Source organism: Homo sapiens, chromosome 11, assembly GCF_000001405.40.
Source record: "Homo sapiens chromosome 11, GRCh38.p14 Primary Assembly".
Lineage (NCBI taxonomy): Eukaryota > Metazoa > Chordata > Mammalia > Primates > Hominidae > Homo > Homo sapiens.
Window position 1 is genome coordinate 119,229,535 of NC_000011.10, and position 14,170 is coordinate 119,243,704.

Below are 14,170 nucleotides of genomic sequence, written 5' to 3' on the forward strand. Positions count from 1 at the left end.
AATCCAGGAGTTCGAGGTTGTGGTGAGCTATGATTGAGCTCCAGCCTGAGAGACAGAGGGAGTCTTTTTCTCAAAAACAACAACAACAACAACAAAAAACAAAAACTTAAGAAAACAAGAGTTCAAGAAATGTTGTATTGAGAATGATGTATTTAGTTTTACAATTTTCATATTATCATTTGAAGAGTTGTGTTTTGTTTTTTTTTTTTCTTGAGACCAGAATCTTGCTGTGGCCCAGGCTGGAGGGCAGTGGCATGGTCTTGGCTCACTGCAACTTCCACCTCCTGGGTTCAAGTGATTCTCCTGCCTCAGCCTCCCGAGTAGCTGGAATTACAGGCATGTGCCACCATGTCCGGCTAATTTTTGAAGAATTCTTGATCATTAGTCATTAAACAGGAATTTATCCTAAGGAAATAATCTGATGTATAGAAGAATGAAATATCCAAGCACGTTCATCACTGTGATGTTGCAGTAGTAAAGACTTGAAAACAAAAGAAATGTTAAAGTTGGGGGGAGATGGTTAAGATATGTTATTGTCTATCCATAGACTAGAATTATTTAAATATCTCAAAAAAGTTTATAATGAGCTTTCGGTGACACAAGAAAATAGGTTTTTGTTTTTTGTTTTTTTTTTTGAGACGGAGTCTTGCTCTGTCACCCAGGCTGGAGTGCAGTGGCGCGATCTCGGCTCACTGCAAGCTCCGCCTCCTGGGTTCACACCATTCTCCTGCCTCAGCCTCTCCGAGTAGCTGGGACTACAGGCGCCCGCCACCACGCCCGGCTAATTTTTAGTATTTTTAGTAGAGACGGGGTTTCACCGTGGTCTGGATCTCCTGACCTCGTGATCCGCCCGCCTCAGCCTCCCAAAGTGCTGGGATTACAAGCGTGAGCCACCGCGCCCGGCCTGAAAATAGGTATTTTTAAATGTGAAATAAAAACGAGAATGTCAGGCTTATGCTTCCATTAATGTTAGCTTAGGTTGTTTTGAACCAAATATACTGCTAATAGCAAGAAAACTTAGAAGACATAGAATTGTTATCAAGACAGTGAGAAATTATGCCAAATTTGGGAAGTTGAGGAGAGCTGTGAGAAATTTATTTTCATGTAATGTGTAAGGGATCTAGTTTTATTTTTTCTCATATGGATAACAAAGTTTTCAATAGTTTTTCTTTTGTATTCTTGATTTGTAATGTCACCGCTGATACTGAATTTCCTTGTGTGCATGTGTGAGTCTGTTTCTGGACTTTCTGTTCCACTAGTTTGTCCACAGAAAAGTCCATGTAAATAGAAAGCACAAACAAGTTGTTAGGAATAAATCCAAATTTATTTGTATGACAAACACAAAATGGACTAAACTTACCAGTTAGAAAACAATGATTGTTACATTGGATTTTTAAATTCTATCTATATGATCTTTAAAAGAAACACTTAAAACATAACTCAGAAAAGTTGAAAGTGAAAGATGGTACAAAGAATTGCCAGGCAAATTCTGAGAGTCCAAATGTAGGACTCTCAGCTCTATGCTTTACTGGGTCCAAGGCCTCTCTGTTCCTGTTCCTCAAGCGGTTGTTAAAACTCAAACCCCAGGTTGGGTGCGGTGGCTCATGCCTGTAATCCCAGCACTTTGGAAGGCTGAGGCTGGCAGATCACCTAAGGTCAGGCATTCGAGACCAGCCTGGCCAACATGGCGAAACCCCATCTCTACTAAAAATATGAAAATTAGCTGGGTGTGATGGTGGCCGCCTGTAATCCCAGCTACTTGGGAGGCTGAATGAGATAGGAGAATTGCTTGAACCTGGGAGGCAGCAGCTGCAGTGAGCTGAGATTGCACCATTGCACTCTAGCCTGGGCAAAAAGAGCAAAACTCCATCTCAAAAACAAAAAACAAACAAAGGGCCTGTAATCCCAGCAAAGTGCTGTAATCCCAGCACTTTGGGAGGCTGAGGCCAGTGGATCATGAGGTCAGGAGTTTGAGACCAGGCTGACCAACATGGAGAAACCCTGTCTCTACCAAAAATACAAAATTAGCCGGGCATGGTGGTGCATGCCTATAATCCCAGCTACTCAGGAGGCTGAGGCAGGAGAATCGCTTGAACCCGGGAGGCGGAGGTTGCGGTGAGCCAAGATCACACCATTGCACTCTAGCCTGGGCAAGAAGAGTGAAACTCTGTCTCAAAAAACAAACAAACAAACAAAGCTCAAGACCCTAGAGTACAGAGATTTACCTCCCAGGGCAGTCATGTCCTTTATTTCTGTCCCTGGGAATTTTCTTTAGTTTATTATAGGGGTCAGGCTGGACACAGTGGCTCAGGGCTGTAATCCCAGTGTTTTGGGAGGCTGAGGCAGGTGGCATCGTTTGAGCTCAGGAGTTTGGGTCTAGCCTGGGCAACATGTCTCTAAAAAAAAAAAAAACAACAATTAGCTGGGTGTGGTTATGCATGGCCGTAGTCCCAGCTACCCAGGAGGCTGAAGTGGGAGGATCACCTGAATCTGGGGGTTTGAGGCTGCACTGAGTCGTGGTTGCTCCACTCCACTCCAACCGTGAGACCCTAAAAAATAAATAAATAAATAAAAATATTGTGGGGATCAGCAGTATATTTAAAAGTAATTTGCCATATTTCATCTAGCATGTTTTAGGGATTTATGTGGATGTTTTCCCCTAGTTGTTTGTTCTGTGTGTTATCTGTACCATTAGTCTCTCAAACGGATTTAAAAACACATTCTTCTGGGGGACCACTAAAAATTTTAAAATGGTTGCCTGTGGGCAATGGGGTTATGGATCTGCTTCTTATATTCTCATGTATTTTTCATATTTTGCAAAAGAGCACATATTTCATAACTTTCTTAAACTTAAAAAAGGGAGCTGTCCTTAAAATTCTCCAAGTAATAGCCCTTCTTTTTCATTTGTTGCAGGTGGTGCGGTTGTGTCAGAACCCAAAGCTGGCGCTAAAGAATAGCCCACCTTATATCTTAGACCTGCTACCAGATACCTACCAGCATCTCCGTACTATCTTGTCAAGATATGAGGGGAAGATGGAGACACTTGGAGAAAATGAGTATTTTAGGGTGTTTATGGAGAATTTGATGAAGAAAACTAAGCAAACCATAAGCCTCTTCAAGGAGGGAAAAGAAAGAATGTATGAGGAGAATTCTCAGCCTAGGTAATGGAGAAATACTACACAAATAATTATGCAGGTCTGTGACTGCCTGAATGGGTAACACATAGAAGTAGTTGAGTTGGTTTTAATTTTATGTTAGTAGGAATGGAAAGTTGACATTTGATTTAAAGGTATAGTTTATATAAAAGGTTGCCATGGATGACGTTGTACTATCCCTAACTCTGATTGATTTGCTTACCTCTGAAAAATCATTTACTGATAGTAATGAAAATGAGTTGGAGGCAGTAGGTCCTTTGGAGAACCTGAAGATCATGAAAGTTTGTGGGCAGGTGGGAGTTTGGAAGAAAGAAGACTGGGGTTAAGTGGAGTTTGGGAGTAAATAAGAGGCCGATCTTGCCAAAAGCTGTAGCATATTAGGTAAATTTATATGTGGGATAATAGGGGAAAAAGCCACTAGTTTAACTTTTTAAAACATGAAGCAAAGTGAAATGACATTTTCTTTATAGGTAAAAGTAACTTTTCAAATAAAATAGGTAGAGGTGAATGCAGTTAATTCAATAAATATTTGAAGGATCACTATGTATTCTTTTATATTAATTTTATTATTATTTTTTTGAGACAGAGTCTGGCTCTGTCGCCCAGGCTGGAGTGCAGTGGTGCGATCTCAGCCTCCAGGTTCAAGTGATTCTCCTGTCTCAGCCTCCTGACTAGCTGGGATTATAGATGTGCACCACCATGCCTGATTAATTTTTGTGTTTTTAGTAGAGATGGGGTTTCACCATCTTGGCCAGGCTGGTCTCGAACTCCTGACTTCAGGTGATCTGCCCGCTTTGGCCTCACAAGGTGCTGGGATTACAGATGTGAGCCATCACGCCTGGCCCTCTTTTGTGTTAATTAAATACCAGAAACTATAGGCTATCCTGCATATTGTTAGCTTAGCTGTCGTAAATTACATACTGGGAGAGAAATAAGTTAACTGTATGTGTGGATGTAATTGTGTTTTATTTTGTTCAATTTGAACTAAATATTAACTCATCTAGAATGAGTAATAAAATAATTCCACTAGAATTTTTTAGTGAGTAAATTATTCTTGAGTAGTGACTTGAATTAGAAGGAACAGTATTTCTGAAGTCATCTGGTTACCATGCATGACTCTAGCAGTAACATACTAAATGGTGTCCTTGTTGTCTACCTTTCCTTTGGGCCTGTTGGCCTAGATTCTGGCAACCCTAGCTTTCAATTAAAATTTTATGCACATGATTATCCATATTACCGTTATTGCAACAAATTACTCAGGTGTAGTCTGAGTAATGGACTCAAAATGTCCATCTTTTCTTTCTTTCTTTCTTTTGTTTTGTTTTGTTTTGTTTGAGACGGAGTCTTGCTGTTGTCACCCAGGCTGGAGTGCAGTGGTGTGATCTTGGCTCACCGCAACCTCCGCCTCTTGGGTTCAAGTGATTCTTCTGTCTCAGCCTCCTTAGTAGCTGGGATTACAAGCATGCACCGCTGTGCCCGGCTAATTTTTGTATTTTTAGTAGAGATGGTGTTTTGCCATGTTGGCAAGCTGGTGTTGAACTCCTGACCTCAGGGGATCCGCCTGCCTCAGCCTCCCAAAGTGTTGGGATTACAGTTGAGAGCCACTTCAGCTGGCCTGTCCATCTTTTCTTAAAAAGATTCTGAGTGAATTCAATCCGTAAGAGCCTTTGTAACTTCTCGTTTATTTGGAAGTGAACTTTATTCCTTTTAAATATTCAGATTTTGTAACTTTTGTTAAAACCTCGACTGTATGGACCTTTTAGCTAACTAGTCATTTTGTATTGTATTGCTGAGTTTCTAAAAAATAATTTTAATTCATGAGGTACCAAAACTTAAAAATTTTGTTTACCATGTACGTGAACTAGGTTCTGGTTCTAGGAGGTGAAAAGGAAAGTTAAGCATTCAAATTTGAGGTAATATGACAAATGCATTAATAGAGATATGTACAAAATTCTGTTGGGAGCCGGGCACAGTGACATGCACCTGTAATTCTAGCTACTCAGAAGACTGAGGTGGGAGGATTATTTCAGCACAAGAAATTGAGACCAGCCTGGGCAACACAGCGAGAACTCTTCTTAAAATAAATGAAACATTTAAAAAGTGCTGTGCGAATACAGTTTTGTCCAGTGGCATTAGAGAAGGTGGCATAGAGGACTTGTAATTTGAATTAGAGTTTGAAGGATAAATAGGAATTTTCTAGGCAGAGAAGTCAAGAAAAGTCTTTTAACACAGTGGCATGAAAATGGAGGCTCTGGTATGTTTAAAATGAGAAGTTTGGTTTGGTTAGAATTGTGGGAGACAGATACGCTGGAAAGACGGGTTGAAGTCAGATTGTAAAGGGCTGTTTTTTGACCTCTAGACTTTCTCTTATAGATGATAGGCTGTCATAGAACAGGTTTATTTTAAAGAGCATTTCTTTTTTCTATTTTTTTTCTTTTTTTTGAGATGGAGTCTCACTCTGTTGCCCAGGTTGGAGTGCAAAGGAGTGATATTGGCTCACTGCAAACTCTGCCTCCCGCATTCAAACAATTCTCTTGCCTCAGCCTCCCGAGTAGCTGGGATTACAGGTGTGTGCATCATGCTGGGCTGATTTTTTTGTATTTTTAGTAGTGACAGGGTTTCACCATATTGGCTTGGCTGGTCTCAAACTCCTGGCCTCAAGTGATCCGCCCGCCTTGGCCTCTATTTTATATGTATTCTCACAATAAAGTGTGCTAGAGAAAAGAAAATGTTACTAAAATCATAAGGAAGATAAAACATTTATTATTCAGTAAGTGGAAATGGATCCTCATAAAGGTCTTCATCCTCATTGTCTTCAGGTTGAATAGGCTGAGGAGGAGGAGTAGGAAGAGGAGGGGTTGGCTGCTGTCTTGGTACTGAAAATTCCAGTACTGGTTTTTCTGTGGTAGAGGCAGAATAGGTGGAGGGGGTGGAAGGGGAGGCAGGAGAGGCAGGCACACTTGGTGTGACTTATAATGAAAAAAAAGTCTGTGTATAAGTGAATCCACACAGTTAAACCCATGTTGTTAAGGCTCAACTATATCTAATTTGCCGTTACCAAATGACTTCAGTACATGTTGACAAGTTCTTTTGCCTCTTTTTAAACCTCACTGTCAGTGTGCCTGTCTGTATCAATTTTATTCCCCCTAACATGAGGCTTTTAATATTTTATGGATTTGATTTGTACAAATTATATGTAAAATGAGAGTAAACAGATTTCAAGTGAGAATCAAGGAGTTCATTTTTTCAATCAACTTTCTCAGGTTGAAAGGGTTTTTGTAAATAGGGAAAAATATATAGGGTTTTTGCGAATGATCTTTGTGGTCTTTTTGATTACTTAGAGGTTTTTTTTTCCTATTCAGTTTTTAAATTGAGATATAATTCACATACCATAAAATTTGCCCTTTTAAAGTGTACAATTTAGTGGTTTTTAGTGTATTCGCAAAGTCAGGCAACCATCACCCCTCTGTAATTCCAGAACATTTTCACCCCCCAACAGGAAACCCCACTCCCATTAGCAGTCACTCTTTGTTCCTCTCTCTGGATCTCCCCTGGCGCTTGGTAATCACTAATACCTGCTTTCTGTCTATGTGGATTTGCCTGCTCTGGACGTTTCGTGTTAAGTGGAATCACATAACGGTGGCCTTTTGTGGTTTTTTTTTGTGTGTCTTCTTTCGCTTAGAATGTTTTTACAATTCACCCATATTGTAGCATGTATTGGTACCTCATTCCTTTTTATGGCTAAGTCATATTTCAATGTATGGATATACCATATTTTGTTTATGATATTTTTGTCATTTCTACTTTTTGGCTACTACTGAATAATGTTGCTATGATTATGTGCCAGTTTTTGTATGGCTATAGCCATATAAACATATATACATATATGTTTTCACTTCTTTTGAGTATATATATATATATATATATATATATACCCATAGGAGTGGAATTGCTGAGTCATATGGTAATTCTGTGTTCAACTTTTGAGTAACCTCCAAACTATTTCCACAGTAGCTGTACCATTTTTCTTTCCCCTAGCAATGTATGTGGGTTCTGATTTTTTGCTAACAATTGCTATTGACTTTTTTTATTACAGCTATTCTACTAGGGGTAAAGTGGTGTCTTGAGGTTTTGAAATGCATGTGAATACTTTTTCATGTGCCTCTTGGATGTTTGTATATAGTTGTCCCCCTTTATCCTCAGTTTAACCTTCCTTGGATTCAGTTACTGGCAGTCAACCATGGTTTGAAAATATTAAATGGAAAATTCTAGAAATAATTCATAAATTTTGAATTGCATGCCCTTCAGAGTAGTGTGATGTAATTTCACAACGTTCTACTTTATCCCAGCTGGGATGCAAAGCATCCCTTTGTACAGCATCTCCATGCTGTATACACTAGCACCTATTAGTCACCTAGTAGCTATCTTAGTTATCAGAGTGAGAAAACATAATATACACAGGGTTCAGTACTATCTGTGGTTTCAGGCATCTGCACATCTTGGAATGCAAAGGGGGACTATTTATCTTCTTTGGAGAAACATCTATTCAAATCCTTTGCCCATTTTAAAGTTGCATTATTTGTCTTTTCATTGTTGAGTTGTAAGATTTTCCTTCATATTCTGGATGCTAGACCAGATACATGATTTGCAAAACTTTACTCCCATTCTGTGGGTCATCTTTTCACTTTCTTAACAGTATGCCTTGAATCACAAAAGTTTTTAATTATGGTGAAGACCAATATTTATTTGGTTTTTGTACTTTTAAGAAATTATTGCCTAATTCAAGGTCATGAGGCCTGTTTTTTCCTATTTTATAGTTTTACCTCTTGTATTTAGGTCTTTGATCCATTTTTGAGTTAATTTTTGTATATGGTATGAGGTAGAGGTCCAACTTGATTCTCTTGCATGTGGATATCCCTTTGTCTCAGCACCATCTGTTGAAAAGTCTGTCCTTTTTAATTGCATGGACTTGTTGCCATTTTAGGAAGGAAGTAAGTTGACCATAAGTGTAAGGGTTTATTTCTGGACTCTCAGTTTCATTTCATTAATCTACATATCTATCTTAATGCTAGTACCACACCATCTTGATTACTGTAGCTTTGTACTAAAGCTTTGGAATCAAGAAGTGTGAGTTCCTCAGCTTTGTTTTTCAAGATTGTTTTGGCTGCTATTCTGGATCCATTGTATTTCTTTTTTTTTTGAGATGAAGTCTCACTCTGTCACCCAGGCTGGAGTGCAGTGGCGCCATCTTGGCTCACTGCAACCTCTTCTTGCCAGGTTCAAGCGAGTCTCCTGCCTCAGCCTCCTGAGTAGCTGGGATTACAGGTGTGCACCAACAATCCCAGCTAATTTTTGCATTTTCACTAGAGACGGGGTTTCACCATGTTGGTCAGGCTGGTCTTGAACTCCTGACCTCAAGTGATCTGCCCACTGCAGCCTCCCAAAATGCTGGCAGGTGTGAGCCACTGTGCCCAGCCTCCCTTGAATTTCTGCATGAATTTAGAATCAGCCTGTCAATTTGATCCCAAATACAATTTTTTTTTTTTTAATAGATAGAGTCTTGCTCCGTCACCCAGGCTGGAGTACAGTGGCATGACCTTGGCTCTGCCTCCCGGGTTCAAGCGATTCTCCTGCCTCAGCCTCCTGAGTAGCTGGGATTACAGACATGCACCACAACCCCTGGCTAAGTTTTCTATTTTTAGTAGGGATGGGGCTTTACCATGTTGGCCAGGCTGGTCTCGAACTCCTGGCCTCATGTGACCCGCCCGCCTCGGCCTCCCAAAGTGCCGGGATTGCAGGAGTGAGCCACTGTGCCCGACCCCTAAATACAATGTTTTCTTATCAAAAAGAGCAGCAGGGGCTGGGTGTGGTGGTTCACACCTGTAATGCCAGCACTTTGGGAGGCCAAGGTAGGTGGATCACCTGAGATCAGGAGTTTGAGACCAGCCTGGCCGGTGTGGTGAAATCCCGTCTCTACTAAAAATACAAAAAATTAGCCAGGTGTGCTGGCGAGTACCTCTAATTTCAGCTACTCTGGAGGCTGAGGCAGGAGAATCTCTTGAACCCAGGAGGCGGAGGATGCAGTGAGCCGAGATCAAGCCACTGCACTCCAGGCTGGGCAACGGAGCGAGAGTTCATCTCAAGTAAACAAGAGCAGCAGGAATTTTGGTAGATATTGTATTAGATCTGCCGATCATTTTGGGGATTACTGCCATCTTAACAATACTGTTTTCCGCTACATGAATACTGGATATATTTCCACTTATATTTTTATTCATTTTTGTCTTTGTTGTTTTAGACAGAGTCTCACTCTGTTGTTGCCCAGGCTGGAGTACAGTGACTCAATCTCAGCTCACTGCAACCTTCACCTCCCAAGCTCAGGTGATCCTCCCACCTCAGTCTCCCTAGTAGCTGGGACCACAGGTGCGCACCATCATGCCTGGCTAATTTTTGTATTTTTTTGTAGACACGAGGTTTCGTCGTGTTGCCCATGCCGGTCTCAAACTCCTGGGCTCAAGCAATCTGCCCATCTCCACCTCACAAAGTGCTGGGATTATAGGCATGAGCCACCTTGCCTGGCCTTACTTATATCTTCTTTAATGTATTTCAGTAATGTTTTGTAGTTTTCAGTGTTCAAGTTTTTTGCCTTCTTAGTTAAGTTTATTCCTATTTTGTTCATTTTGATGCTATTGTAAATGGAATTGTTAATTTTAGGTTCATATATAGAAACATAGTTGACTTCTGTATGTTGATCTGGTACTCCACAACTTTGCAGAACTTACTTATTGGCTCTAGTAGCTTTTTAGTAGGTTCCTTAGGCTTTCCTAGATACCAGATCATGTCACATGCAATTAGAGGTAGTTTTACTTCTTCCTTTTCTTTCTGCATGCATTTTATCTCTTTTTCTTGCCTAATTATTCTTGGCTATGTTGAATAGGAATATCAGGAGTGGCCATCTTTGTCTTTTTGGTATTGAGGAGGAAAATGTTCAGCCTTTCACCATTGAGTATATTAGCTGTGAGATTTTTGTAAAGGCTTTTCATCAGGTTAAAGAAGTTTCCTTACATGTCTTGTTTTTCAGTTTTTGGTTGTTGTTTTTTTTTTGCTTTTTTGTTTTATCATAAACAGTTGTTAGAGACCTTTTATGTTTCATTCGTGGTTTTTCTTTTTTTGATAGGTGAGTTGTGGACAGCTGAGTGCTAGTTAAATATAGTACATAGAAAGAATCTTGAAAAGAAAACTAGTTTGAATAAGCCAAAGTAGAAACTTGTTGACTCATAAAATTCTAGAAAAAATGAGTATCTTAAATTGCACTAAAGAGGCTGGGCATGGTGGCTCACGCCTGTAATGCCAGCACTTTGGGAGGCTGAGGTGGGCAGATCACTTGAGGTCAGGAGTTGGAGACCAGCCTGGCCAACATAGTGAAACCCCATATCTACTAAAAAATTCAAAACAATTAGCTGGACATGGTGGCATATACCTGTAATCCCAGCTGCTTGGGAGGCTAAGGCACGAGAATTGCTTGAACTCGGTTGGTGGAGGTTTGCGGTGAGCTGAGATCATGCCCCTGCACTCCAGCCTGGGTGACAGGGTGAGACTGTTACCAATTAAAAAAAAAAAGAAAAAAAAGAAAGAAAAAGAAAAATTGCACTAAAGGCAAGAATGCAGGTAAGCCTCAGGAACAACTGAAACCAGGATTGAAATGTTGCCAGGACTCTGTCTGTTCTCTTTGATTCTTCTGGTATTACTTCCATACTCAGTGCAGATTAATGCGTAAATTGCAGAAAAGTTTGGTCTCTATTACACCCAAGTTTTATATCTTAAGAGTTTCTGCTGTAGCAGAAGATATGACTCTTAGTTCCAGTTTTCACTTTGGCTTGGTATAGAGCATTTGATTGTCCCTGGACCAACCTCTGGAAGGAGAGGTTAAGTACTGGGATTAGTACAGCAGAGGCCAGTTGCAGACCTCTAGACTAATCGACTGTGGCTTGGGAGACATATGTGTTCCTTCATAGCCATGTGCATGGGGGAGTTTGTTCCTAGTTTTTTGGGTGTTGAGGAGCCAGTCTCTTAAATCTTCTCTATAAGAGTGTACATAATTGGCTGGGTGCAGTGGCTCATGCCTGTAATGCCAGCACTTGGGGAGGCTGAGGTGGGTGGATCACCTGAGGTCAGGAGTTCAAGACCAGCCTGGCTAACATCGTGAAACCCCGTCTCTACTAAAAATACAAAAATTAGCCAGGTGTGGTAGCGGGCACCTGTAATCCCAGCTACTCGGGAGGCTGAGGCAGGAGAATCACTTGAACCTGGGAGGTGGAGGTTGCAGAGCCGAGATTGTGCCACTGCACTCTAGCCTGGGCGACAGAGTTAGATTCCATCTCAAAAATAAAAAATAAAAAATAAAAAAGAATGTACATAATTCTATCTATTATTGTATAGTATTGTTGCTTCATGATTTTATTTTAGTTATTATTAGCTGGTTTAAGTTCTCCAAAGATAAATTTGCCCTCATTTTTCTTAGACTTTATAAAAAATGAATTAAGTAAAACCATAAGCCTCTGTTTTGCCTTTGATCTTTCTGGGTTTTGCACCTGTTTTCATTTGTGTACAGGAAGTTACAGTAGAAGCCGAATGGGATTATACAGTGCAGTTAATTTTAAAAACTTGATTGTATTCATTGTGCAAGTAGGATTAAGCTTTTCTAATGTAATTCTGCCTTCTTAGAGGTAGGAAAAGGAAAAAAAATTAGTATTGAGTATTTTGTCTATGGTAGGCACTGCTCCTGAATAGTACATAGTCCCTTCTTTTCATGAAGCTTATAAGCTTATATTATGTCTTTTTCCATTAGTTTCCAAAGCATAACCTCCATATTATCATCCGGTGGAACAGTATTTAACAAGCGAGACAAAAGTGTTTGTGCAGCTATAATCTTTTCCTAGCACCATGAAAATAGGTTTTCAATAAGTGTGCAAAATTCTTCTGGTAGGTAATGGCAGTTTAGATCTTTGTGTTCAGGAATTTGGGCTTGGTGGGAAGAGATTTTCACTTAGGTTAAAAATGTCCTTGCATTTAGGAAAGGGACAGCAACATGGGTCCTGAAAAAGATTTTCAGTCCATGAGAGAGACAATGATGGCTTGGACCAAAGTGATGGGTGTAGAGATGGAAAGAAGTGGGCAGAATTTGATGTATTTTAAAGCTAACATACCAGGACTTGCTAATGAATTGGATAGATTTCTAGTTTGAGCAACTGGATAGATAGTGCAATGGGAAGCCACTGAACTTTTGAACAGGTGAAGGATGTGATCCACTTGTATTTTACAGTGACAGTATTGGCTGCTGTCTGGAAAATAGGTAAGGTCTTGTGGCAATGATGGAAATAGATGGATAGGTTACTAAATTAGTATTCTAGGCCATGTTAGATTGATGAGACTAGGGAGGAGGAATTTAAAATGAAGAGAGGTGGGCAAATAAGAAATAGATTGGGGATAGGTATGGTGTAATTCCTGTAATCCCAGTGATTTGGGAGACTAAGGAGGATCAGTGGAGGCCAAGAGTTTAAGACCAGCCTGAAACTGGGCACAGTGGCTCACGATTGTAATCCCAGCACTTTGGGAGGCCAAGGCGTTGGATCACCTGAGGTCAGGAGTTCGAGACCAGCGTGAACATGGTGAAACCCCCTCCCTTCTAAAAATACAAAATCAGCTGGGCATGGTGGCGGGTACCTGTAATCCAAGCTACTCAGGAGGCTGAGGCAGGAGAATTACTTGAACCCAGGAGGCGGAGGTTGCAGTGAGCCAAGATTGCACCACTGCACTCTAGCCTGAGTGACAGAGTGAGACTCCATCTCAAAAAAAAAAAAAAAAAAAGACCAGCACGGCACCATAGAGAGACCCTGACCCTGTCTCTACAAAAAATTTAAAAAAGAAAAATTGGCTGGGTGTGGTGGCATGCATACCTGAAGTCCCAGCTACTCAGGAGGCAGTTGAGGTGGGGAGGATCACTTGAGCCGCTGCACTATAGCCTTGGTGACTGAATAAGGCCCTGACTCTTTAAAAAAAAAAAAAAAAAAAAGAAACCAGTTTGCTAGGCCTAAAATAATTGTTTCTTTTGGCTTGCAAAAGTGGCAAAAATGGCAAATCTACTTTTTTTTACTTTTTTAAAAAAATTTTTCTCTCAAATCTATTTATGATGAGTATTCCAAAAGAGGGTGCAGGGACATGGGTATTGCCATACCAGGTTGCATTAGGGGTGAAATTAGTTTAACCTTTCTGGGGTGGTGGTTATATCAAAAGATTTAGAATTTTCAGCCAGGGGTGGTGGCTCATTACTGTAATCCCAGCACTTTGGGAGGCTGAGGCAGGCAGATTACCTGAGGTCAGGAGTTTGAGAACAGTCTGGCCAATGTAGTGAAACCTCGTCTCTACTAAAAATACAAAAATTAGCTGTGTGTGGCAGTGCACGCCTGTAATCCCAGCTACTTGGCAAGCTGAGGCAGCAGAATCGCTAGAATCCAGGAGGTGGAAGTTGCAGTGAGCCGAGATCATGCCAGTGCACTCCAGCCTGGACGACAGAGCAAGACTCAATCTCAAAAAGAAGATAAGACTTAGAATTTTGCTTAATAAGTTCACTGGTAGGATATTTATTTATTTATTTATTTTTAAAGAGAGATTGGTCTGTGTTTTCCAGGCTGGTCTCAAGTGATATGCCCGCTTCACCCTCCCAAAGTGCTGGGATTATAGGCATGAACCACTGCGCCCAGCCTACTGTTAGGAATTTATCAAAGAGAATTGATCAAGGATATGAGACCCCGTCTCAAAAAAAAAAATTTTTTTTTTTTTTTTTTGCTGATGAAGAGTAACGATATGACAATATGTTAAATAGGCTATAGAATTGTATGTTTAATAATATTCCATTTTTGTAGAAAGTATTTTAAAATACAAAAACAACACCTAGAAAGAATGATACCAAAATAACAACGGTAAGTATTAGAATTACAGGTGGTTTAAATTTTCTA

General features: G+C 40.3%; 1 protein-coding gene across 1 annotated transcript in view; it reads left to right on the forward strand.

Annotated features, from left to right (window-relative positions):
- Positions 1 to 14,170, forward strand: part of CBL (Cbl proto-oncogene) — a 101,811-nt gene that overhangs the window by 23,196 nt on the left and 64,445 nt on the right. The window contains exon 2 of the mRNA NM_005188.4: positions 2,914 to 3,161. Coding sequence (NP_005179.2) covers positions 2,914 to 3,161 — 248 coding nt within the window. The remainder of the gene's footprint in view (positions 1 to 2,913; positions 3,162 to 14,170) is intronic.